Source organism: Homo sapiens, chromosome 2, assembly GCF_000001405.40.
Source record: "Homo sapiens chromosome 2, GRCh38.p14 Primary Assembly".
NCBI classification, from domain to species: Eukaryota; Metazoa; Chordata; class Mammalia; order Primates; family Hominidae; genus Homo; species Homo sapiens.
In genome coordinates, this window is record NC_000002.12 from 190625590 (window position 1) to 190649984 (window position 24395).

The 24395-nt window shown below is 41.4% G+C and overlaps 2 protein-coding genes and 1 long non-coding RNA gene across 48 annotated transcripts in view, besides 7 other annotated features; 2 read left to right on the forward strand and 1 right to left on the reverse strand.

Moving 5' to 3' along the window:
* Positions 1-13939, forward strand: part of NEMP2-DT (NEMP2 divergent transcript) — a 104691-nt gene extending 90752 nt beyond the window's left edge. For both annotated transcript variants that reach the window (NR_183903.1, NR_183902.1), the window contains one exon: positions 12757-13939. This is a non-coding gene — a long non-coding RNA (NEMP2 divergent transcript). The remainder of the gene's footprint in view (positions 1-12756) is intronic.
* NEMP2 (nuclear envelope integral membrane protein 2) overlaps positions 1-23196 on the reverse strand; it is a 227365-nt gene extending 204169 nt beyond the window's left edge. The window contains exon 1 of the mRNA XM_047441958.1: positions 22631-23196. The gene's annotated coding sequence lies outside the window, so the exon portion shown is untranslated. The remainder of the gene's footprint in view (positions 1-22630) is intronic.
* Positions 11594-12328: an enhancer, noted in NCBI's record as "H3K27ac hESC enhancer chr2:191501909-191502643 (GRCh37/hg19 assembly coordinates)". NCBI's record gives its function as "activates a minimal SCP1, AML or CMV promoter by ChIP-STARR-seq in primed H9 embryonic stem cells {active_cell/tissue: H9 hESC(primed)}" and the evidence as "EXISTENCE:reporter gene assay evidence [ECO:0000049][PMID:30033119]".
* Positions 11864-11933: an enhancer, noted in NCBI's record as "active region_16862". NCBI's record gives its function as "activates an Ori minimal core promoter by ATAC-STARR-seq in GM12878 lymphoblastoid cells {active_cell/tissue: GM12878}" and the evidence as "EXISTENCE:reporter gene assay evidence [ECO:0000049][PMID:35858748]".
* Positions 22755-22804: a silencer, noted in NCBI's record as "silent region_12180". NCBI's record gives its function as "represses an Ori minimal core promoter by ATAC-STARR-seq in GM12878 lymphoblastoid cells {active_cell/tissue: GM12878}" and the evidence as "EXISTENCE:reporter gene assay evidence [ECO:0000049][PMID:35858748]".
* Positions 22815-22864: a silencer, noted in NCBI's record as "silent region_12181". NCBI's record gives its function as "represses an Ori minimal core promoter by ATAC-STARR-seq in GM12878 lymphoblastoid cells {active_cell/tissue: GM12878}" and the evidence as "EXISTENCE:reporter gene assay evidence [ECO:0000049][PMID:35858748]".
* Positions 22945-22994: a silencer, noted in NCBI's record as "silent region_12182". NCBI's record gives its function as "represses an Ori minimal core promoter by ATAC-STARR-seq in GM12878 lymphoblastoid cells {active_cell/tissue: GM12878}" and the evidence as "EXISTENCE:reporter gene assay evidence [ECO:0000049][PMID:35858748]".
* Positions 23025-23394: a silencer, noted in NCBI's record as "silent region_12183". NCBI's record gives its function as "represses an Ori minimal core promoter by ATAC-STARR-seq in GM12878 lymphoblastoid cells {active_cell/tissue: GM12878}" and the evidence as "EXISTENCE:reporter gene assay evidence [ECO:0000049][PMID:35858748]".
* The window catches only part of NAB1 (NGFI-A binding protein 1), a 43872-nt gene continuing 42782 nt past the window's right edge, over positions 23306-24395 (forward strand). For 7 of the 45 annotated variants that reach the window (XM_047444453.1, XM_005246583.2, XM_047444460.1 and 4 more), the window contains exon 1: positions 23494-23771. The gene's annotated coding sequence lies outside the window, so the exon portion shown is untranslated. Of the gene's footprint in view, positions 23383-23493; positions 24394-24395 lie in introns of those variants that run through there. The other 38 variants (XM_047444443.1, XM_047444457.1, XM_047444469.1 and 35 more) reach the window with 11 other exon arrangements.
* Positions 23405-24004: a silencer, noted in NCBI's record as "silent region_12184". NCBI's record gives its function as "represses an Ori minimal core promoter by ATAC-STARR-seq in GM12878 lymphoblastoid cells {active_cell/tissue: GM12878}" and the evidence as "EXISTENCE:reporter gene assay evidence [ECO:0000049][PMID:35858748]".

Below are 24395 nucleotides of genomic sequence, written 5' to 3' on the forward strand. Positions count from 1 at the left end.
TAAAAGAAAGAAAGGAAAAGTAAAAGCAAGCTATACAGAAAAAGATAGCTAAACAGCTATCTATGATGCTTTAGGCCACCATCGTCCCTGGCTGCTTCAATGCTGTCAGGTATTTACATTGATTAGCTTCTGTTTAGTTGTGCTTTTTTTCTTTCTTTTTAAAATTTGAGGCTTCAATCCAAGCCATCTAGCCAAATAAATTCCCAAACATGTGTTTCTGACACATGGCCAAATAATCTAGATTTAGAGAGGAAATCATGACCAAATTAATTTTAGTCATAAATTAACAGACAGGCAGCTTCTAGAGACCCAAATATGTCTCTTTTTCAAACATGGTGACTGTCTTACTCCATTCAGGCAGCTGTAACAAAAATACTATAGACTGGGTGGCTTAAACTACACTTACTTCTCACAGTTCTGGAGGCTGGGAAGTCCAAGATTAAGATGCAGATTCAGTGTCTGGTAGGGACCAGCTTACCAGTTTATAGACTGTGGTCTTCTGACTATGTCCTTACATTGCAGAAAGGGGTGAAAGAGCTCTCTGGGTCTCTTTTATAAGGGCACTAATCTTATTCATGAGGACTCTGTCGTCATGACATAATCACCTCCCCAAAGCCACACCTCCCAATGCAGCACATTGAGGGTTAGGATTTCAACATATGAATTTTGGGGGGACACAAATATTCAGTCCATAGTAGTGACATAGAAGCATTAAATTAATAGGTTTCCTTTAGTGCAAGGATAACATCCTGAAAATAATAATTAATTTAAAAGTTAAAATGAATAACAAATGGAATGAAACACACACAGACATTTAAATGTACCCTGAGGAATGCCCTTTTATATTACCATATTAAGAGTGTCGAGAGAGAGAGAGAAAGAGAGAGAGAGAGCTTTACCTGTGGGTGTATAGTAATTTTGGGTAGTTAAGCAGCACCCTTCTTTTGAGTTGCTCACAATGCTTTATAGCATTCACTTCAATTGTGACAACACTCCTGTGGGTGGCAGGCATTGTACTAAAAGTGCGGTACAGCTGCAGGTCAGACAACCCAGGGGCACACAGTTTTCACATGAACAGTTTATAGCACAGGTGGGTGCCGAGCCCACAGGGTCGGTCCAGTCATGCCTCATCCACATCTGACCAAGGTGGCATCTTCTTGGACTGATGAGCTCTCGAATGAATAACAGTTTTGAGTTCCCATTATTCTGGGTTTCCCAAGTGTGCGTGCCATATCTGAAACAGATGGTCAGTATTACAGGATGATGACGGTTTTTAATGGTAATAGGAATCACATGATTAACACTTCCTGAAAAGAACTGGATTACATATTGAAAATTGGACCTCAGCTCTTCAAAAAAATATTATTTGATTTCCTGTCTCATTTCCAGAAAATCATAGGAATACTGAAAGTCTGTGAAGAGTATTTTGAAATGGATTAACATCTACACTTGTTTTTTGTCACACTGATCTCTAAGGCCCCATTCAACTATTTACTTATTTGGCAGTTATGGTACTTTCTCTACACACCAAAAGCCTGGGGAGGGACATGCATGCAGGGACAACGTCCATTTTATTTTCCCGTGTTGTCCCAAGCTTAGCACTGTGCCTGGCACATAGAATGTGCTCAACAACAGTTTTTGAATAAATAAATCTTGCAGTATTTTGCTTTATAAGACTTTTCTTTGACTATATGGCACTCCAGTTGGAGTTCTATTTATCATAACAACCCCTTCTAGGAATGCTTTTGTTGCACAGATAATGTGTTTTTATTTTTCCAGATTTCTTTCATTTCTGATTTACTCTGACCATTCACAAAAGGATATTAAGATTTGAAGATTTCCAAACACCTCTGGTGAGGGAATTTCTATAAGTGTTCAAATGTTTCTTGACTACATTTTAAAAGGTTATTTATATCTGCAGTATTTTTGGCACTTAACAAGTAATAACATATTCATATTACATCAACACTTACTTCATTGTTTTTCCTTTAAAAGTTCTTAGGGAAAAAAAAAAAAAACCTTAACATCTTCCCAGATTGTATTTCCCTCATCTCCATTAGTTACCAGTGTTGACTCTATTCTTTTTATTGCCAATATTCCTGCAGAAAACTTAGAGATGACCTATTTGTCCTTGATTTTTGCTTCCAAAGATGTGCCACCAAAGAATAGGAATTTCTTATAGAATGCATATGCTTTAGGGGCATCTGTCTCTAACTTTACAAAAATAAAATAATAAAGTTATGTGTTTTCTTCACACATTTGAAAGCCAGAAATAGATTCAAACGTACATTTTTCTATCCGTGTGCCAAGCTAATAAGCTGAGCGCAACAGACTGCATCGCGCAGGCCACCGCGGCTCCGCCCTCGCACTGCGCTCTTCCTCCTCCCGCGCCTACCGCGTCCCTCCTCCCACTGGGAACTGGCCGGCCAGCAGCCCCCCGCAGTCCCTCCAGCTGCTCCCCTGGCAGCTGCACACTTGCCTCTGGGTCTGTCGTGCCTCTTTGTGTTCCTGGGCATCATTAAAATAATAGAATCGCAGCGTTTAGAGCCGAGTGACTTTGGACTGGCTCCTCTGACACCACTGAATTTCTGCAGATCATTTACTCCATTTTAGACTCTTAACACTTCACCATCTGGAAGGTCTTGGGGAGGGCACTGGGACCAGCGAAATGTCTGCTGCATCATGTGGGGCACTTTTAGTGACCTCCCCTTGAAGCAGACGTCAATGGGAAGTGTTCTAGGTGCCCACAGAGAGGGGTCTGATGGAGGACGCCTGTTACTGCTTCTTCACCCTCAAAGGAAGGAAACCTTTTAGACTTCTGAGGAGGTAGAACTCAACAGTATACATGCTCTTAACTAGCAATATTTATGGTACACGTTCTTCCTTTATAAAATCAGTTCTGCAATGCCTGCTACTCCAGTCTCTGTTATCTCAGGAACTCTTGAGTGAAGACTATCCCCTGACCTAAGCTGGGCCCATCAGAATCTCTCTGGGGAGTTCGGAACTGGAACAGAAATGCTCATCTCTCTCCTGGTTTCTCCAACAGGAAAGATGTGCATGGGGAGCTGGGGATGGGCAGTGTTTGGGGCTGTGTACCTTGAGGTAGTGAAAACAGATCTGCTGATCCTGCAGGCAGTGAAAGAGAGAGAGAAAGAAAAATAAATCTACAGTGAGAAAAATAGACATGAGAAAAAGCCAGCTTCCCGGCTTCCCAGAAGCTTCCTGGCTCTTGGTTCTAGTCCCCCAGGAGATTGTGCTACTTCCTCGCCTGGCCTGAAGTTAGTTTCTCTTCCATGCAACAAAAATCCTCTCCTCAGATGTTGACTCCATAAGGCTTCTGACCACAAAGCACAATCATAATTCTTTCATTGAGTTTAACTATCCAAAATCTCAAGAATCTCAAACTCAATTAAGAACCCAGAATTAGACAGATGACATATCCAAATAGTGAAAGCTATGTTTTTGGTCCAGAATTGTGCAGAGCGTCAGTCCTAGCTGCGCCTGGCCCTGCTCACTAACTCCTCCTCAAAAAACAATTCATCAGATTTATCTTGCAGCTGCTATATGCTCTGCACCAGGTCAAATGCTGAAGTTTTGGAAGCCATCATGACACAGCCCGATTCCCATGAGCTTTCAATTTAGTAGGGAACTTAGACAAGTAAAACACATTACACAAGCGGTCTTTAAAAAGTTCATTGAAATACGTATTATGAAAAAACTATGCATAGATGTCAAAAATTTTTTGCACCAAAATAAACTTGTACTAACTTGTTATAACATGTCTGAAAAGGATCTAGTTCGAGGCACTAAGATATCAGTTTGTAAGGAGTCCCTTATCAGAGCAACGTGAATTCTGCTAAAATTGAAGCAAGAACAAACATTAAATTTTTGGTGAAGCTTGGTTGGAAGAATGATGAAATCATTAACTTTTAATGAAAAGTTTATTGGGACAATGCCCCCCAAAACTAAGCAGTTTATAAATAGAATAATTCATTTTAAGAAGAGGTGAGACAATGTTAAAGCTGAAGCCTAGAGCAGCAGACCATCCACGTCAATTTGTGAGTTAAAACTCATCTTGTTTGAGCCCTAATTGAAAAGGACCAATGATTAACAGCAGAAACAATAGCCAACACCATAGACATCTCAGTTGGTTCCACTTACACAATTCTGACTGAAAAATTAAAGTTGAGCAAATTCTCCACTTGATGCGTGTCAAAACCGTTGTGCCCAGATCAGCTGCAGACAAAAGGAGAGCTTTTGACGGAAATTTTAAAACAAGTGGGATCAACAATTTCAGAGCATTTCTTCAAAGAACTGTAACAGGAAATAAAACATGGCTTCGCCAGTACAATCCTAAAGACAAAACACAATCACAGCAATAGCTACCAAGAGGGGGATGTGCTTCAGTCAAAGCACAAGCAGACCATCAAGAACCAAGGTCGTGGTGAAGGATTTTTTCGGATGCTCAAGGCACTTTGCTTGTTGACTTTCTGGAGGGCCAAAGAACAGTAACATTTGCTTATTATGAGCATGTTTTGAGAAAGCCAAAGCTTTAGCAGAAAAATGCCCAGGAAAGCTTCACCAAAGAGTTCTCCACCACAACAATGCTCCTGCTCATTCATTCCTCTCATCAGACAAGGGCAATTTTTGTTTTTGTTTTTAAGATGGAGTCTCGCTCTGTTGCCCAGAGCAATCTCGTCTCACTGCAACTTCTGCCTCCTGGGTTCAAGCCATTCTCTTGCCTCAGCCTCCCGAGTAGCTGGGATTACAGGCCAGCACCACCACGCCCAGCTAATTTTTGTATTTTTAGTAGAGACGGGGTTTCACCATGTTGGCCAGGCTAGCCTCAAACTCCTGACCTTGTGATCTGCCCACCTCAGCCTCCCAAAGTGCTGGGATTACACCCTGCCCTGCCAGACAAGGGCAATACTTTGAGTTTTGATGTGAAATGATTAGGCATCCACCTTACAGTCCTGATACGGCTCCTTCTGACTTTTTGTTTCCTAAAAAAATCCTTAAATCTTTTTTTTTCAGTTAATAATGTGAAAAAGACTACATTGACCTGGTTAATTTCATAGAACCCTCAGTTCTTTAGGGATGGACTAAATGGCTATTATCACTTATAAAAATGTCTTGAACCTGTTGGAGTTTATGTTGAGAAATGAAGTTTATATACTTTATTTTTATCTTTTAATTCCGTTTTTTCATGAACCTTTTGAACTAGTAACAGAATTTTCTAATTTAACTTCACTCAGTTTAAATCTCAGTGTTGTTCGAGAAATCATAATATTGGCCAGGTACAGTGGCTCATGTCTGTAGTCGTAGTGCTTTGGGAGGCTGAGGCAGGAGGATTGCTTGAGGCCAGGAGTTTGGGACCAGCCTGGCCAACATAGTGAGACCCTGTTTCTAATTAAAAAAAAAAAAAGATCTGAGTCACACAGCAGAAAAACAAATATAAAAAATGATAATACTACTTTGCAGATTTTATCTGTTTAATATTTCAACAGGCCAAGCGTATCAGCTACAAAAATCTCAAGAATTGTAAAGATATGACCAACTTAAATTATTTGAAGATGTTGTATGAGACTTGCAGAGTTCTAGATGGGGAAGAAACTGTTTCCAAGATGCTTACATATCCAACCAAAGGAAATAGATTAGAAAACAGCAGGATGATCACACAACATAGCTTCACTTTGCTGGTTGTGTGGAATGGGCCTTACAGGACACCATCAACTTTGCTACAATCGTGTTGCATTTTTATTTAGGCTCTCAGTGTTGACAGTACAGCAAAGCCCTTTTGGTCAAGGAAACAAACCTTAGACATTGTCAGAGACCAGTTACAAGATCAAGTGGTTTTATAAGATCAATGTAAAAAAAACTTTATATTAATATTTTACTACTTTTATTTTGAATATGTACCAAAGAGCATATGTTATATTTTAAAGCTAATTTGGTAATTTAGAATAAGACTTATAAAAGCAACTTCTTTCAGATTATATATTAACACATGTTGATTGCAGAATATTTGGATAATATAGATCAATACTGTATAACCTAATCCACAAAACCACTTTATTGTTATAGTCATGACTTTTATTTTTGTAATTAATTTCTCAAATCCTCACTTACCCTATCAGGAGACAGTCCAATATAGACTTTCCCCAAATTGTCCAAAGATACCATGGGCTGGGCATGGTGGCTCATGCCTGTAATCCCAACACTTTGGGAAGCCCAGGCAGGCAGGTTGCTTGAGTCCAGGAGTTCGAGACCAGCCTGGGCAACATGACAAAACCCCATCTCTACTAAAAATACAAAAATTAGCTGGGCATGGTGGCACGCATCTGTAGTTCCAGCTACTCGGGAGGCTGAGGTGGGAGAATCACCTGAGCTCAGGAGGTAGAGCCTGCAGTGAACTGAGATAACGCCACTGCACTCTTGCCTGGGCAACTGGAGTAAGACTCTGTCTCAAAAAAAGAAAAAAGAAAAGAAAAGAAAAGAAAAAGACACTATGGTCTTACTGGATCCAAAGAGTGACAAGGGTGAGTTGTGTTTCCATTGCTAGGTCTAGAGGGAAGTGGGAAGCTTGACCATTTCACTAGTGCTCTCCTTCCTTGCAGCCTCACAGGGCTCTGTGGAAGTATGGTCCTGCATGGTCCATGCTGTGGCAAATGCCCTTGCTGCATCTGGCCCTGCCTAGCCATGTAGGGCCCCAACCTGGGGTCCTACAATTATAGGTCTCTTGGAGTCCCTCTCAGTCAATGATAGTCACCATTTCCTGTATTCTCAGCATAGGACCAAAGTAGCTGGATCCCAAGAAGCTTCTAACTTAGCCACATGCTGTGCTTCCTCCAAGAATGCCTAAGCCCTTAAATTTATCCCAGGATGTCAACTTAGGTTTGCTGATTCCTAATGATAATTTTATTTCAGGTCCTCATTACTGTTCTCTGATAATGGGCCTTGGCCAGGTTACCCTGATCAATCTTGAAAAGAGCAGGGTAGAATATGTGTCCTTGCCTTTCCAGATGGTCAGGGCTCCATCCTCATATTATCCAACCACTTCATCAGGGACCAACTTTGTTTACCCTGGGTTTCAGAGAATGGCATAATACCAGAAGGATGGGTAAACTCTATTCCCAACATTTCCATAACTAAGGGGGGCAACTGGAATGACTTGGCAGGCGACAAATGAAATCCTGTTATGTCAATTAAAAAAAAATCCATGACCAAGCAGTAATATGTGGTCATTATAGAATATACAGAATATTACAAAGAAAATAAAAATCCTTCATAATCCCATCCACAGATAACCTGTTAATGCTGTAGAGGACTCTTGTCCTAACTTGCCTTCCCACCCACCGTTGCAGTACTCTTCCATACCCATCCAACAATTTAGACACGTTGCTGCTCTGAACACTCCATTCTTTACTTCTTTGTGCATTGTATTTCCTTGTCCTGCAATGCCTTCCTATTTTTCCCTGTTGAAATCTACTTCTTTTAAGGTCCAGATCGAATGTCACTTTCCTCTTAAGTGCATTCTGATTGCACCCTCTGAATGAAGCTCCACCTACTCGGACCACCCACAATTTGTACTTTACTTGAGGCACATATATCATGCCTTTGAACTGTACTAATTGTTGCAGTAGTGTCAACTCCACGACTAAACTGAAAGTTTGAGAGTAATTCCTACTTGAGAGTAAGAATTTTGTTGCATTCAACTTTTCCTTTTTTTTTTTTTTTTTTGGAGACAGGGTTTCGCTCTTGTTGCCCAGGTTGGAGTGCAATGGCGCGATCTTGGCTCACTGCAGCCTCTGCGTCTCGGGTTCAAGTGATTCTCTCGCCTCAGCCTCCTGAGTAGCTGGGATTACAGGCACCCACCACCATGCCCAGCTAATTTTTGTATTTTTAGTAGAGACGGGGTTTCACCATGTTGGCCAGGCTGGTCTCAAACTCCTGACCTCAGGTGATCCACCTGCCTCAGCCACCCAAAGTGCTGGGATTACAGGCATGAGCCACTGCGCCCAGCCCATATTCAACTTTTCATCTCCCATGTCAACTGGTACAATGCCTTCCTTGCAAATAGTATGTACTCAGCAAATGTTTGTTAAAAAACACATGTGTGTACCTAGCAATAGAGAGATAACATATCAATTAACTTGGCCTAGTCAAATTCTTTAACTTTATTAAAATAAAAAATGATAAGGCCAGGTACTGTGGTTCACACCTGTAATCCCAGTGACTCAGGAGACTGATAAAGGAGGATCACCTGAGGCCTGGAATACAAGACCACCCTAAACAACAAAGCAAGACCCTGTCTCCACAACAAATTAAAAAATTAGCCAGGCATGGTGGTCACATGCCTATAGTTGTAGCTATTCGGGAGGCTGAGGCAGGAAAATCGCTTGAACCCAGGAGTTTGAGGTTACAGTGAGCTATGATTGTGCCACTTCACTCCAGCCTGGGCAACAAAGCAAGATTCTGTGTCTTAAAAAAAAGAAAAGTATCAAATGTCTGTTGTAAGACTCCAGGTATTTACTATTTCAAACTTTTCTTAAATTTATTTTTAAAAAGTTCAGATGCATAAAATTATAAATAATAATATAATAAACACCCACATACCCAGCATCCATATTAAGAAACAAAACATTACCAATATAACTGAAGTCCTGTAAATTCCATCCTTAATGCACCCCTTTATGCCTCTACCATAGTTAGGCAAATCCTGAACTTGGGGATTAATCTTTCTAAGCATTTATTTTTATTTTAACCATATTACATATGTATTTATAATGTGTGTTTGTTTAATTATTTAAGAATATTCAATTCTGCTATACAAAATAAGAGAAACAAACACATAGGGAGAAAAAAATGAAACTAAGAATTGAAGCAAGTAGCTTATGAAACAAGCAAAATTCCTACAAAATGTAGTAGTGCATTTGCGTAATGAACATAATTAGAAAGAGATGGAAAGAACAAGAAACACCTAATAGTCATGATACATGTGAGGCCCTGAATCATCCAACTTTCATGACGCACTGAAGATACTTAAGGCATATCAGGCATTCCCTATTCAAAAGGTTTTAATCTGGCCAACCGTTGGCTCCTCATATCCTCTGCAAAAGAAATATAAATAAAATCCATAGCTGTTCATGAGGTTAACTGATGAGCTACTGCTGTCAGCTAGACCCACTCTGCTCCCAAGACTTTAGAGCAACTGTGTGTTTTGACCCTAAACACCCGTCTGTTGGGCTGCTTTGGTTAAATCTCAACTCTGATCTTTGCAAGCAAACACTTGGTTAGGAAGGCTGATGTGGCAGGGAGAGACAGGACTGAGGATTCAGGTGTTGTCATCTTTCCACCCTGCCTCCTGTGACACATCTTAAATGTGTTAACCCCCTCCATGTCTTTCACCTAGCTTCTTATGGTGTGTTTTAAATTGATTTAATAAGCCACGTGATTTGAGGATTTTGTTTTGGTCCATAAGCCTTTCTTGTTCTGTGATCCCTTGAATAGCTTGCCTGTTAGTGTACTTACAGGCTACCATTGCAGCAACAATGGTTGTTGTTTCCCACACAACAATAGCATTTGCAAGTTTTTAACCTAGATAGAAATATATTCTACACATTCATCTGCAATCTTTTTTTTAAGAGACAAGAGTCTTGCTCTGTCACCCAGAATGGAGTGCATTGGTGCAGTCATAGCTCACTGCAGCCTACAACTCTTGGGCTCAAGGAATCCTCCCACCTCAGCCTCCTGAGTAGCTAGGACCATGGGCATGTGCCACCAAGGCTTGGCTAATTTTATTTTTTGTAGAGCAGGGCCTTGCTGTGTTGCCCAGGCTGGTCTCAAACTCTTGGCCTCAAGAAGTCTTCCTGCCTTGGCCTCCCAAAGTGCTCCCAATTTACAGGCATGAGCCACTGCGTCTGGTCTTGCAACTTGATTTTTGGTCAACTTGATCAACATCTTGTTTGTGAGATTCTTCCATGGGAGATATGCATATCTATTTCATTCATTTTCAGAGCTATATTCATTGAATATTTCACAATTTACCCATAAATTCTTCTGTTGATCTAATATACATCATTTCCAATTTTTTCTATGCTGCTGTGAATATTCTTGTATGTATCTCCTTGGGCACAGGTAAGAGAGCTTCTCAGAGACTACACCTAGGAGTGCAATTTCTGGGTCACAGAGTATGCACACCTTTAACTTAACTAAATACCACCAAATTGCTCTCCAAAGTGTTTGTACCAATTTATACTCTTAACAGAAGTAAGTTCCTATGTTGTTTGTTTTTTGAGACAGGCTCTCACTCTGCGGCCCAGGCTGGAGTGCAGGGGCATGATTATAGCTCACGGCAGCCTTGGACTCCAGGCTTAAGCAATCCTCCTACTTCAGCCTCCCCACTAGGTGGAACCACAGGCGTGTGCCATCATGCCTGGTTAAGTTTTTATTTTTTGTAGAGACGGGATCTCATTATATTGCTCAGGCTAGTTGCTAACTCCTGGACTCAGGTGATCCTCCTGCCTTGGCCTCCCAAAATATTGGAATTAAAGGCAGTTTCTATGTTCTTAATCCTAGCCAACACTTTGTGCTGTCAGACTTTTAAAATTTTTACTGATCTGATGAATGGATGAGCTCTGCTCACAAAGAATCATCTTATGGCATTTCCTTAGTACTTTAATTATGAGGAAAAAAAATCTGTGCAAATTTTGTGTCAGATTTTTGGATTTTCTCATTCTCTGCTTAAGGCCAAGTAAGGTTTCCTCTTTCTATTTCCATCACTGTCAGCAGCAAAGGAAAAACTTTGCAACAAAACTTGTTATATTTTTTTCAGAAGGATTAAAGTTTGGAAGAATACCATATTGGAGGCTTTAAGTCTCAAAAATATCCCTCTGATTATACAGGGGCATAAGAAAATGAATTTAACTGCATCCATGCAAATCAATCATCACTAAGCGTATGTCGTAATGACGGTAGGTCAGTAGTGGAACAACTATGACTCACAGGCTGAGAATGCCCTCATTTAAGAAATTCTACAAAGTTGCTCCCTACCCCAGAATATCTACCCCAGGGGCTTGTTCCATGTCTCAAATTCAGCTACTAAAGTGCTGAAGTCCAAAATTTTCATATTTAAGAAAACTCCAAAAGAAAACACATCTCAAAAATCATATTTAGTACTTATAAGTCATTAGCACCTTATTTGTCACATCTCTTAAAAACACAAAAGGAATGGGACACAGAACCTGCAAGTGCTAATAAGGCATAAGGTGGAGGCCACCCTCAACTTCTTCCTCCCCCTTTATCCAGAACATTCAGACAGACAAATCTCTGTTCTTAGCATCTTGCTTAAATCTTTTCGATGGCTCCCCAAAAGGGCTAGCAGTGTTCTCCAAGTGTGGTCTAGGGGTCCCTTCTGGCTTCAGATCCTTCACTAAGGTAATCATTTAAAAAGTACAGATTTCCCAAGTGCCAGCCCAGGCCTACTTAATCAGTATGTCTGACAGGGAGATCCTGGAATCTGTTTTCAATAAATAATCCAGCTTGATTTTCTTAAAAATACTTTTTCACAATTGAGAAGTATAGTGTACAGTAAGTACAGAAAGCATAAATGTGCAGTTCAATGATTACAAAGTGAACATCCACATAACCATGGTCCAGAACAAGAAAGAGGGCCTTGCTTGCCAGCACTTCAGAAGCCCCCTTGTTCCCCTTTCAATCATTTCTCTCTTCTCTTAGTTGTATCTACTATTCTCATGTCTGACACTCACAGCTTGATTCTTGCACTCACTGGTGCTGAGAACTACAGCTACAAGATAAAGTCCACACTGCTTAGCGTGTCAGAGGTGGCTCCTGCACAATTTGGTCTCTACAATTTCATCTTCTGCCTCTGCCCTCTTCACATGTAATTCTCAAGTCATTTGGAATCAGTTATGCTTCATTTCACAATAATTTCCCTAAGTTACTGCTCATGTTTATGCTGCCTCACTGCCTCTGTGCTTCTGTACTTGCTGGGGAGTGCCTGCACTTCCTGAGTCTATTAATTTCATCCTTCCAGACCTGTCCAATTGTTGCTTGCTTACAAGGCCTACTGACTTTCACCCCTCTGCCCTACCCAAACCAGAACCATCACTCTTTCTTTGTGTGACTAAGAACATCTTATAATGTGTGCAAGTGCTTGTTTACATGTGTATTCCGCTTTCTAGACCAGGAAATAGGGCAGAGATTTAATTTTCTTGTGCTTATAGGCTTAGTGTGTATCCCTCAGTCAGTGCTTAATTGTTGAACAAGCAAATAGTCTCCAGGTATAAACATCTTAGGAAAAGTAGCACACTGCAACCTTAATACCTCTGGGTATATTTGGATCAGATCACGTTCTTCCTTGTCAGGAAACAAATGCAGACATCAGTAACACACTGGGTGCCCGAGAGGGAGGTGAAAGTAAGTGAAGAAAGAGGGATGAAACACTGCAGGAGCGGGAGCAGGGGAGCTAGTGATGTTGTCTGAAGGGCTGCCAGAGCCTACAGAGCAAGGAGTAATCAGAGTGCTCCCGGCAGCACTGAGCCTTCCCTTCTTTCTCAGAGAGGACTCCCAGTTGTCAGACCACTGTGCTACATGGGGAGCCTGGACTGTTCCAAATTCCTTACATCTTTTCCTGCCTCTGATTGTCCTCACATTGTCCATCTTCTTCTCTGAGTATCCATTCTGCTTGCAAAATGCCACCTTTTAAGTAAGTAACCTGCCTATTTTTGACCCTAGCATCAAAACTCCTATCCATCCACAGTATGTGAGTGGGAGTGGAAGGCGACAATAAGCCACACAGAGGGGCCTTGTGTAACTGCTTGGTGCTCAGAGGATCTGGACAGAAGCATCTGGGCAGCCTGCCACAGGAAACTTCACAGCAATGTCAATAGTCCTGACGAAAACGAACCTTGACTGCTGGGCAAACTGAGAGGGTGGAAGGACAGAAATGAGCATCACTTGAAATCTACTGATGCCGGAAAAGATATTGTAAAGCAAAATTTAAAATCAAAAAGTAGTTAATAAATTTTGGCCCCTTCTACTGTATGGGTCTGAAAGACAGCCATCACTGGTGGTTTGATACCTGGGGAAGGGGTGAGGGCAGCTTTGAGTGGAGATGATCAAGGCAGGTCTGGAGCCCACACTTGGGAGATGCTTGCATCTGCAAAATGAAGAAAGAACTGCAGTCTCAGAGAAAGTGGGCTCTGCTCTCCTCCCCTAAGGAACCAGAGCAGCAGATGGGTCTCAAGCAGCACTGGACCAGTTTGGCACCTGGTGGGCCAGTTTTCTGCAGCTAAACAAGGACCGGAACAAACAAACAGGGCATCAGATGTGGCCCAGATGCCAGTTCTGTCACTGGGTGTGAAAGCCCAGTGAACGTCACATTTTGAACTGCAAAAGCTCTGGGACTGCATAGGTCCCTGGAACAGGAGGATCCTTAAGAAGATATAAAGAGATACATGCTTGAATGATTAATAAGGAAAAGAGACTATTTGTGACATCAGATTAAAGCAGTTCAAGCCAGCTCTATATCTATAAATATATATAAAATCAATATTAACACATTCAATTTTTTTTGTAGCTAGTTGGGTGATAAGGCAACTCAGGATGGCATCTGAATCAGCATGGTCAAAGAATTTGGTGTGGTGGGGTATCTATGCCTTGAGGGTCTACCATGTGTCAGATGGTAGACCCTCAAGACATGTAGTTATACAGGCCAGATGACATTAAAGTGCTTGACACATACTTTTTAGCTCCCAGATTTTGTTGACCTCCTGGTTTTTGTTGCCCTCTGCAAACAAGTGGATAAAAACAATTTTGGGACAGATGACATTAAGTGCTTGACACATACTTTTTAGCTCGCAGTTTTTGTTGACCTCCTGGTTTTTGTTGCCCTCTGCAAACAAGTGCATAAATACATACAATTTGGTTTTCATTTTTATTTGTAAACTGCTTTTGAAGCAGGATCTTTGTTAAGTAACATTTATTTTTTTCCTGATTTTCAAAGTAATGCATGTTTATTGTTGAGTTTTTTTTTTTTGTTTTTTGTTTTTGTTTTTTGACGGAGTCTCACTCTGTCACCTAGGCTGGAGTGCAGTGGCACGATCTCAGCTTACTGCAACCTCAGCCTCCCGGGTTCAAGTGATTCTCCTGCTTCAGCCTCCTGAGGAGCTGGGACTACAGGTGCATGCCACCATGCCCAGCTAATTTTTTGTATTTTTAGTAGAGACGTGGCTTCACCATGTTAGCCAGAATGGTCTCGATCTCCTGACCTCATGATCTGCCCACCTCGGCCTCCCAAAGTGCTAGGATTACAGTCGTGAGCCACTGTGCCTGGCCAAAATTTTTGAAAATTGAAAAAAAGCATAAAGAAGAAAATAAAAACTATCTATAATACCATCACCCAGAGATAATTACTGCTAACATTTAGTAAATTTCCTTCCATGTTTATTTAGGTAGAGAGATTACAGGTTGTTTTGCTCTGTTCTATTTTTACCCATAACATTATGAGCATTTCTCAATATTATTAAATATTAATTGAATATATTCCATCATATAGATATCTTATTTAACTAATACATTATTTTTTATTTTTTTCCATTTCACAAATAATGTTGTAATAAAAATGTATAAACTTAGCATAATATCTTAGAAGTGAATTTGTTGGCTGAAATCATATGGACATGTTGCAACTCTTGGTTCGACTTGCCAAACTACTGTTCTAAAGGTTGTTTATTTTTTTTACCAGCAATGATGAGCCCCTAACCTCTGCAACACTGTGATTATTTGGAACAGTTTATTTAAGGAATATAATTTATAGTTGGAAAAAACCCTTATTCTGCCACTATGAGAAACTTATAGTAAGGAATGAAAATACAATAATAGATAGAAAACTTTAAAGTTTTTGACTACCACATATTATTGCCAGTCCTGGGTAAGCTGAGTCATGATGTATAAGTCCAGGTACACGACAATATAATTCAAACTGTAAAGATGTAACTTTGCAGTTATATGCAAACGGAACTATGTTTATCTGTATTTCAGTAGTTTAAAAGTCTCTCATTGTAGGATATATGCATTGTCCTTTCAAAGTATCCGCTCCTAGAAGGCAGTGTTGAGTAATTTGTTGTGGTAATTTGTTGTGACAATTCGCCAACTCATCAATATTAACACATTCAATTTTTTTTTTTTTTTTTTTTTTTTTTTTTTTTTTTTTTTTTTTTTAGCTAGATGGGTGATATGGCAACTCAGGATTCTACCTGAATCAGCATAGTAAAGTATTTGGTGTGCTGGGGTAGTTTTTGAACCCATTCTGCTTTTCTTTCCTTTTCCTGACACTTACCTCTTGCAATCCAAGCGAAGAGAGAAGACTGGCTGCTGTTTCTCTGCCCCTTTTCCCTGCAGATCTGTCCCAACTACTCCATCCCAACACTCCCATCTGTCCCACGTCAAGAGGCTGGTTTAGAGGAGTTTATGTGAGGATGATCTCTTCTTTGCCCCCTCTGCCTTTTCTTTCCATTTTTTTTAGGGGAGCCCTGTACTTGGTACTTTTTCTTTGGCTTTTCACTTCTCCCAAAATAGTTATATCTACTTTAGTTACTTGTCATAAGTACAGACACATCTTCTGTAATCTCCATCCTCTTTCCCCACTTCCTTCCAATTCTTGCCCATTTGCTTCAAGAAGGGCTCTCTTCCTTAACATGCTCTCTTCCTATTTCCTTGCTCCTTTCATGAAAAAGCCAACATCTTGGCTGACAAGTCACACACCTTTGTCAAGGAAACAAACAAAATCCTCCATCCACCCTCATGATGGAGGGTACTCCAGCTGCTGGGTCCTTTGGCTGCAGTGTAGACCTAGAGGAAGAGAGAAGCCCAGAGACTGAGCTGGGAGAGTGGGCACAGACTTGACATTCATCTCAGCAAACAGGGTGGAGAAGGGTAAAGCCAAAGCTGGGACTGTGAGGAACAGGGTGGCCAAGAATGCAGTGTGCAGTGGAAGACGGTTTGAATACATTCCAGAGATGGGGAGCAGAGCACTTTAACCTACTCTCCACCCTGGCTTGTGTTGTTAACAGACAATTATTAATGGCCAGGAATGAGTGGACCGTAGCCAGTGTGGCTGACACCTAAAACAGTGTTACAGATCAGTTAACTATACAAGTCCTGCACAGTGGATGCTGGGAGAAAAGGGAAGGAGTGGGAAGAGAAGATAGAGTTGCGGAGTTTTAACCACTGTTGCCAAAGATAGGGGATAGAAGAGAAAGAAAAACAAGGCTCTAATCCTTAAAAAATTTCCCGAAATTCTCTTAAGAAAGTCTTTTCAAAAGTTTCCATTTACATTTCTTCTGTCTTAAACACAAATTTTAACCACAATTACTATTCAGTCAATTAAATGTTTGGTTGTACTTACTGCCTAATATACTTTTCTGCTCTTTCTATAAGCAATGTGTAGTATAAATTTGCTTATCTGTAGAAGTCAATTGGATTAGATGATTTCTAGGATCCCACCTAATCCCCCCAAAGTCTGTAACACTTGTATTTTCACTTGTATTTTATAAGCACTGGTAGCTCATCCTGGGAACCTAACCATCTCGGGTTTTTTTTTTGTTGTTGTTGTTGTTTTATTCTTACAACAGAGATTGCATTATAAGTTCAAAATAACCAACTTATAAAGAAATAAGCAATTGGAAACTAAACTAGTTGTATGATGAATTTCTGCAAGGTATTTGAATATATTTTGAATATACAAAAGAGGATGAACTAGGTAAACTTTATAATCCTTTATACCTTAAAATTCTATAGTATCTTGTAATAAAATACAATGGATAAAGGTTTGCTTATTTTTCAGAAGAGCAGCTACTTTTAAAGTCGTGGCTCTTGAAATTATGAGTTATTATATATTCCTATTAACTTGTCTTTAAGAAACTTGTTTATAATCTCTATATATTTAAAAATACTCAAATTTCCATGCATTTAAAAGTTTATTTAGTCTACAATACACTTCCAAAGCTTTGAATTTCATATCGCAAAATAAGGGAAATTTTAATTATATTTCTGGTAATATGAATATTCTACATGACTCAGTTAATTGTAGGGCTACCACCACACAGAGTGGAAAATTTGTTAAGTATAGAATTGTTCTGAGGCAATAATAGACGAGAATTATATTATACCTTAGATCTTGTAGGTCATAAGCCATAATGTTATTCTTCCTCTCCTCTAAGAACATTTTAAATCTATTCTTTTGTTTGGAATTACTGAAGCATTTTAAAGTAAGAAATCTTTCCGAAAATAATAAATTAATGCTCTTTTAGTGAAATTTTCATTCAAATGTCAAAATCACTACCAACTTCTTACATTTTTTTTTTTTCACTGAAAACTTTTTTTTAGTTTCACAAAGTGGAAATGGTTAAGGTTTTTTTTTTTTTTTTTTTTTTGGGTCAAAAGAATCCCTTATTTTTGCAAATGCTAAAATAATGCACTAATCATTGAGCAGTTTTAATAACAATTTCTTAAAACCCCTTTTAAACATATATTCACTGAATTCAAGAGAAGTATAACACATAGTTGCTCCTTCCAAGGGGGCTTACTGTATACTTAGGATGAACATAATTAAGTAACTAAAGATGCATAAATAACTATAAGCCTTCCATGTGGTACCAAAGAGAAGTGGAATGGGAGTTAGGGAAAGCAGAAGCTACTGAGGGAAGTGGAGCTCACAGTGATCTTCAAGGAAGTTAAACTGGAGTTTTAAAGATGGGAGAAACACTTGTGTCAGTGTTTCTGAAACCTCCAGCACTGACTTGGCTGCTTAGAGCTATCTGTTTAATGGTCCAGACATGGGCTGTGGGACAGAGATCTTGGCCTCAAAGCCTGGCTCTCCCATGTTACCTAAACAGGTAATTTTAGTACCCCATATTTCAGTTTCCTCAGTTCTACCAGAGAATGAAGTGAATAATAGTGCATACTTTATAGCGCTGTTGCGAGGATCAGATGAATTAATACTGATAAAGTGCTACCAGCACTTATTAGGTACTCGATACATGTTAGTTATTATTTTCTTGCACCACTAAAATAGCATTTATCCTTGGGAGGTGAGCTTCAGCCCAGGAGTTCGAGACCAGTCTGGCCAACATGGTGAAATCCTGTTTCTATAAAAAATAGAAAAATTAGCCGGGCATGGTGGCACGCCTATAGTTTCAGCTGCTTAGTAGACTGAGGTGGGAAGATGACTGGAGCCTGGGAGGTTGAGGCTGCAGTGAAAGCCATGATTGTGCCACTGTACTCCAGCCTGGGTGACAGAGTGAGACCCTGTCTCAAAAACAAAAACAACAAAAAAGAGAGTTTACTTAATAGTCCTCATTTTAAAATTAAGGGTCTTTGCTCAAGGAAATGTATTTAAAAGGTATTTTGAGATCGTTATTCTAAATGCATAATGAATCTCATTTGCCTCAATGGAAGATAACCATAAAAACAAATACAAGGAAAACAGTGCTATTAAATTCTAGCTATATACTGAGGCCTGCCAAGGCTCTGAGCTGAAGCCTGTTTCCTCATTGTAAAAAAAAAACAAAAAACAGAATTCAGCAAGTATTAGAAGGATTACAGACATACTGGCACCAATTTAAATTTCCTCCTTCGAAGGACTGAAAGAATTGAAAAGGGAATAGCTTGTTCAGTATGTGGTTTACTGCTATTTAATGCCAACGTGCATCTTCCATCTCGAATCATCTCAGCATGCTTCTGTACTTTGACAGAGCCATCAGAAGACAATGTGAAGGAGCAGTGTTCATTTACCATTGACTGGTCTTGTGTTCAAAGGTGTGTCATATATACTGACTGTATATTGTCAGTGGCATACATTATATTCTATTTTCCATGAATTACAACTTCCATTCAGAAGCACAAAAAAAATTATTCTCTTTCTCTAATTTTTAAACCTGAGAGCAGCCATAAAAAAGAACAGGTTCATGTCTTTCGTGGGAACGTGGATGGAGCTGGAGGCTGTTGTTATCCTTAGCAAACTAACACAGGAACAGAAAATCAAATACCTCATGCTCTCACTTACAAGTGGGAGCTAAATGATAAGAACTCATGGACACGAAGAAGGAAACAACAGACAGCGCGGTCTACTTGAGGGTGAGGGGTGGGAGGACGGAGAGAGGCAGAAAAGACAACTATTGGGTAGTGGGCTTAATACCTGGGTTATGAATTAATCTGTACAATGAACCCCAGTGACACAAGTTTACCTATGTAACAAACCACATGTGCCCCAGAACCTAAAATAAAAGTTAAAAAAAACACACACACACAACTTGAGAGAGGAAATCTGGTTTTCTGAGAGGGGAAATAAACCTGGTGATTTGGCTGTATACTGTGACACACTCTACAACACGGATTAAAATTATGAACACGCCTGTAAAATAAGCTTCTCCCAAATCTACTCCTAACAGGTAAAAACAAAAACTAAGTCAAGAAGGCTTTCAAATTTTTTAAAAAGTGTTTTCAAAATTTAAAACCATACAAGTGATATTTATTTAAGACATCAGAAGTAGCTCTGTCTTGCCCTTACTTTTATATATAAGGAATAAGCCTGGGATGATATTTGCAAGAGATAGAGTTAAGAATAAACACATGAATAATAAATAAAAAAACAGAATTTGATATATTTCTCATACCACTTTCCAAATGGTGTTAAAAATTCAGAATCTGGTGTATTTATTAACCCTTTGTAATTTATTTAAAAATAAATTTTGTGCCTAAAAATCTAATATGAATTACTTTAGGAACATTCTAAAATTACTTCACAATTTACACACTGCTTCAAAACATATTCTAACTCTTAATATTTTATTGAAAATGTTATATATTTAATCAGAAGTAGGCATCACATATTTTAGACACTTCTATTAGGAAATACAATTCATACTAATAACATCTACAAAATACAAAATTCTGCTAGTTCATATTTTCCATTTCATTTATTCAGCAAATATTTATTAAGTGACTAGTATGCGTCAGCCAATGTTCTAGCCACTGAATATACAGCAGTGAATAAAAAATTCTGCCTCTTGGAAATTACACTCATGTCCTTTAGGCTCTTAATGAAATGTAACATGAAATGTGATTTTCCATGTATAAGAAAATTATTTTTATTTTACTATTTGCATTCGACGAAGTATTACAAAAATAATATAGTCTCATTCCTTAGTAGTTTTTATATTCATCTTTTAGAGTGCATGAAAAGACAATCAAAACTATAAACAGAGACAAAACATTTTCCTTTGTCTTTTAGACTTCCTTCTGTTCTCCTTATTTTCACTGTTTTATAGCAAAGCCCTGCGGGCAGGGAACCATCCATGACTTACTTGTCTTTGTGTTCCAAGCATCCAGCCCTAAACCTGGCACATTCTTGGTGCTCAACAAGCTGTACTGAATAAATGAATAATTTCAATATACAGGTATTTATAATAAAATCACACCAGGAGAAACCAAAACTATTGCATGGACGTTTAACAAAAGATATCCAAAGTGGTCTGAATGGCAACTATTTGTGTTAGCACATTCTTACACCTGTCTGGGATGCCTCCAAGAACACTCTAAAGCCTTGAAACTGTTTGATCTCTTCCAGAGGGCCTTCAGAGGATAATCAGACACCATAATTGTTACCTTCCAGGATGGAATGTGAATCTCTTTGCTTTCCTCTAACAAATCCTCAGGGCGTGGGAGTGGGAGAAGACTGTGTGTGTGCTGGAGTCGGGAGGAGGTATTAGGGATGGCATGAGTGACAAAACCTGGTAAGGTGGAAAAAAAGAATCCATCGTCTGACTTGACTCAGATACAGGCGAATGCTTCAGTTCTTTTTGAGCTACCATATTGACTACAGTGTTGTCATACAGACATACAGAATTGGATGCTTAAAAGCTTAAAATTTTATCTTTCCTTCATTTTCCTTCCTCCCACCACTTCCCCCAGCACCACAGGGCATTTAAGGCAAAGTAAAGTGGGCCAAAAATGCCATTCTTAATGTGGGAAGAATACACTATCTAAATGTGCCCAGAAAACAAACAAGGATAGATTCCACTGTTTAACTGTAGAAACCAGATACAACTCAGAAGAAAAAGTATCTGTCCTGACACATTTCCTTTTCAGCATCATGTTCAGCCAGACACAGACAAGCTTGGGAAGAGGATTTAATGTTGTTTCTTCCAACTCTGGAAACAATTCCACTAGAAGGCTCAATAGTTCAGGTAAGACCACTCATTTCGTGACTCATGAATCCGTGATTATACATCTTTACGGAAAAAAGTTCTTTTTTTCTAGCTTTCAGAACCAAGAGTGTTTGCAAAACATCAAGATTCCATAGAGGAATTAGAAGAGAATTTTGCAGATTTCGTTGCCTGAACATTACCTTCCCCACCAACCAAGAAATTGCCTAAATCGTCTTTAACATGACCATCTAACTTTCTCTTTAGTAGAACAGGATCCACAGCTGCAAAAACCGTGACAATTAGGGAGACTAAGAGAAACTTCCAGCAGTGATTTCTGCAGTTAAAGAATTTCAGGAATTAAGCAGACTTATTCATTTGAAATATCAACTCAACTACTCCAGACAAAACCTGTCACTAATACTGAAGAAAAAGATTTAACTTTAATTATATGTATTCCATTGCGGCATTACTCATTTCTATAACATGATTTCGCAAAAAGAAAAAAAAAGGTTCTGTACTTTATTAAAGTCTTTTTCTTTCAATATCATCATCATCATCCTATCCCTTGCTGCAACATAAAGATGTGGTTTGAAGAATTTCCCATCTCAAAGAATGCCTTGTATCCCCATCAGCGAAGTAGGCACACTCTGGGAGGCCAGCCAGGGTGTGGGAATGGCCTCCTATAAAACTTGATTTTTATGTGTATGTTAAAATGGGATTCTACCTGTCTTTGCAGTAGTTTTATATTAATGAATGCTCTCTAATCTTCAAGAACACAATGCTAAAATTCTTTAATTTTTCCACTTTTTGCAAAGAATTGAAATATAGATTTAAAAAACAGACTTCCAAAATTTTTTTGGCAATAGCTTAAGTACATTTTTCTTCTTCTTCTTTTTTTTTTTTTTTTTTTTTGAGACTGAGTTTCGCTCTTGTTGCCCAAGCTGGAGTGCAATGGCACGATCTTGGCTCACTGCAACCTCCGCCTCCCGGGTTCAAGCTATTCTCCCGCCTCAGCCTCCCAAGCAGCTGGGATGTCAGGCATGCGCCACCACGCCCGGCTAATTTTGTATTTTTTGTAGAGACGGGATTTCACCACGTTAGCCAGGCTGGTGTCCAACTCCGGACCTCAGGTGATCCGCCCGCCTCGGCCTCCCACAGTGCTGGCATTACAGGCGTGAGCCCTGGCCAGCCTAAGTACATTTTTGAAGGTGCTTTAATACTTTGGTTAGCAAAGTTTATGCAAACCAAAAAATTCTATATTGTGCCTTGGGAACTCTAATTTAGCACACACCAGCACTATACTAGCGCCGTAGTTTTTCTACACCATGGACACAAAAAACATTAAACAGTAAAATAAAAGGCAGATTTTCAGGAGGTTAAAAAGGTTGGAATTAAATTACCCGGCCAGCGCGACAGTTGTCAAAGCTGTACTTCGGACTCCCTGGTTCCATTCCTCCCTCCTCCTCCCGTCCCAACGCCAGAGCGGAGGTGGGGAGGGGGCAAGATGGGCGAGGCAGAGATGCTCTCCCAGCCGCCGGTTCTTCCAGCGCCGCGCACCTGCCGCCCCTTCCTCCATGCGGTCGCTGCAGCCTTCCCGCCGGACGCCTCGCCCCCCCGGGCAGGGGCGCACCTGGACCACCTGCCTCCCCGCCTCTGCCCCGAGCCTGCGGGGGCCAGGGGAGCCCGGCGCGCTGTTGTTTTTTTTTTTTTTTTTTTTTTAAAGTCAGCCTCCTAGAGGATGTTGGATTTGGCGGGTGTGCTCTTTGAAATACTATATCGGGAACCTCACACATAATTTTTTTTTTTTAATTGCAAACCTTCCCAGTTCACTCCGCAGCTGGAGAGCAGGCCGGAGGCGGCGTTCCCCACCCGTCTCCCTCTTTGTCGTCCCCTCCCCGCGCCCGGAGCGGGACTCGCGGGAGCCGCCCACTCCCGGCGCCCACTTGGTTCCTCCCAGCTGCCGTGTGAATGGGCCGTCCTCCGGATTCCGCGGAGGGGGCGGCGGGAAGGGGCCGAGCCCCGGGCCCAGCGGCCGCCCCCGCCCCCGCCCGGCGGCGGCCCACGCCGGGATCTGCGTCACTCGGCCGCGCGTGGGCGGGAGCCGGAGCGGCGAATGTAGCAAGAGCGGAATCTCCCAATGTGACAGCGCGGGGTGGGGGAGTGGAGGCGGCGGAGGCGGGCGGGGGAGGGGGAGGAGGGTGTAGCGCGCGCGGGGAAGGCAGGGGAGGGGAGGGCAAGGCGCGGCGGGGGAGGCGCTGCCGCCGCCGCCGCCGCCCGCGCGCCGCAGCCTGGAGGAGCCGCCGCCGCCGCCGCGGCCAAGCGAGCGCCGTCGGGGCGGGTGGGCGGGAAGAAGCGGCGGGCCCGAGGTGGGGGGGAGCAGAGAGAGCGCGCCCACCACCTTCCCTTCCCCCCTCGATGGGAGCGGGGGCGTCCCGGCTCCTGCAGCCGCCAGAGGAGGGAGAGCCGGGGGCCGTCGCTTCGGAGTTGGGGCTGAGCAGTCCTCGGGGAGAGCGCGCCAAGACCGCTGCAGCCGCTGGCTGAGTACGTACCGGAGCGGACGGTCGCCACTCCCGGTCCGCCAAGTGCGGGACACTTTCGCGGCTGAGCGGCCACGGGCGAACTTGGGGCGGCTGAGTCGCGGGGCCACGCGGGCACTTTGGGGGCGGTGTCCGGGGGAAGCGGGCTCCGCGCGGCCGCCGCCGGAAGGAGAGGGCGGCCCCGGGCTCGTGTGGGCGATTCCCGGAGACATTCTGTGTGCCAGGGCGGCGGGGAGCGCGGCCCTGACTCGTGCATTTTCCCTCCGAGAAAGGTTGGGGTGCCGAGTCCGTTTTGCTAACGGGGCTGGGGGCGTCACACGGCGCTCTGGGGGTGTGCGATGTGGGTTGTGCGCGCCGGCCCCAGAGTTTTGCAGCCACCTTCGTCAGGGCAGTCTTTTTGTTTGTTTACTTTATAAAAGTGCTGCACTTACCGTCTCGATTTTCTTCTTGGGTATCTTCCCTTTCCGAATGTAGTTTTCTTTTTAAAAGCGGAAGGAGAGTTTTACATGGAAGTGGCTTACAGAAACTTGGCGCTGAGGTGCAGGGAAGCCAGAAACTCTTTGTGTCTCTAAGGCCGATGAGGAATTTGGAAACACATGTGGGACATACAAGCGTTGGATATAGAGGT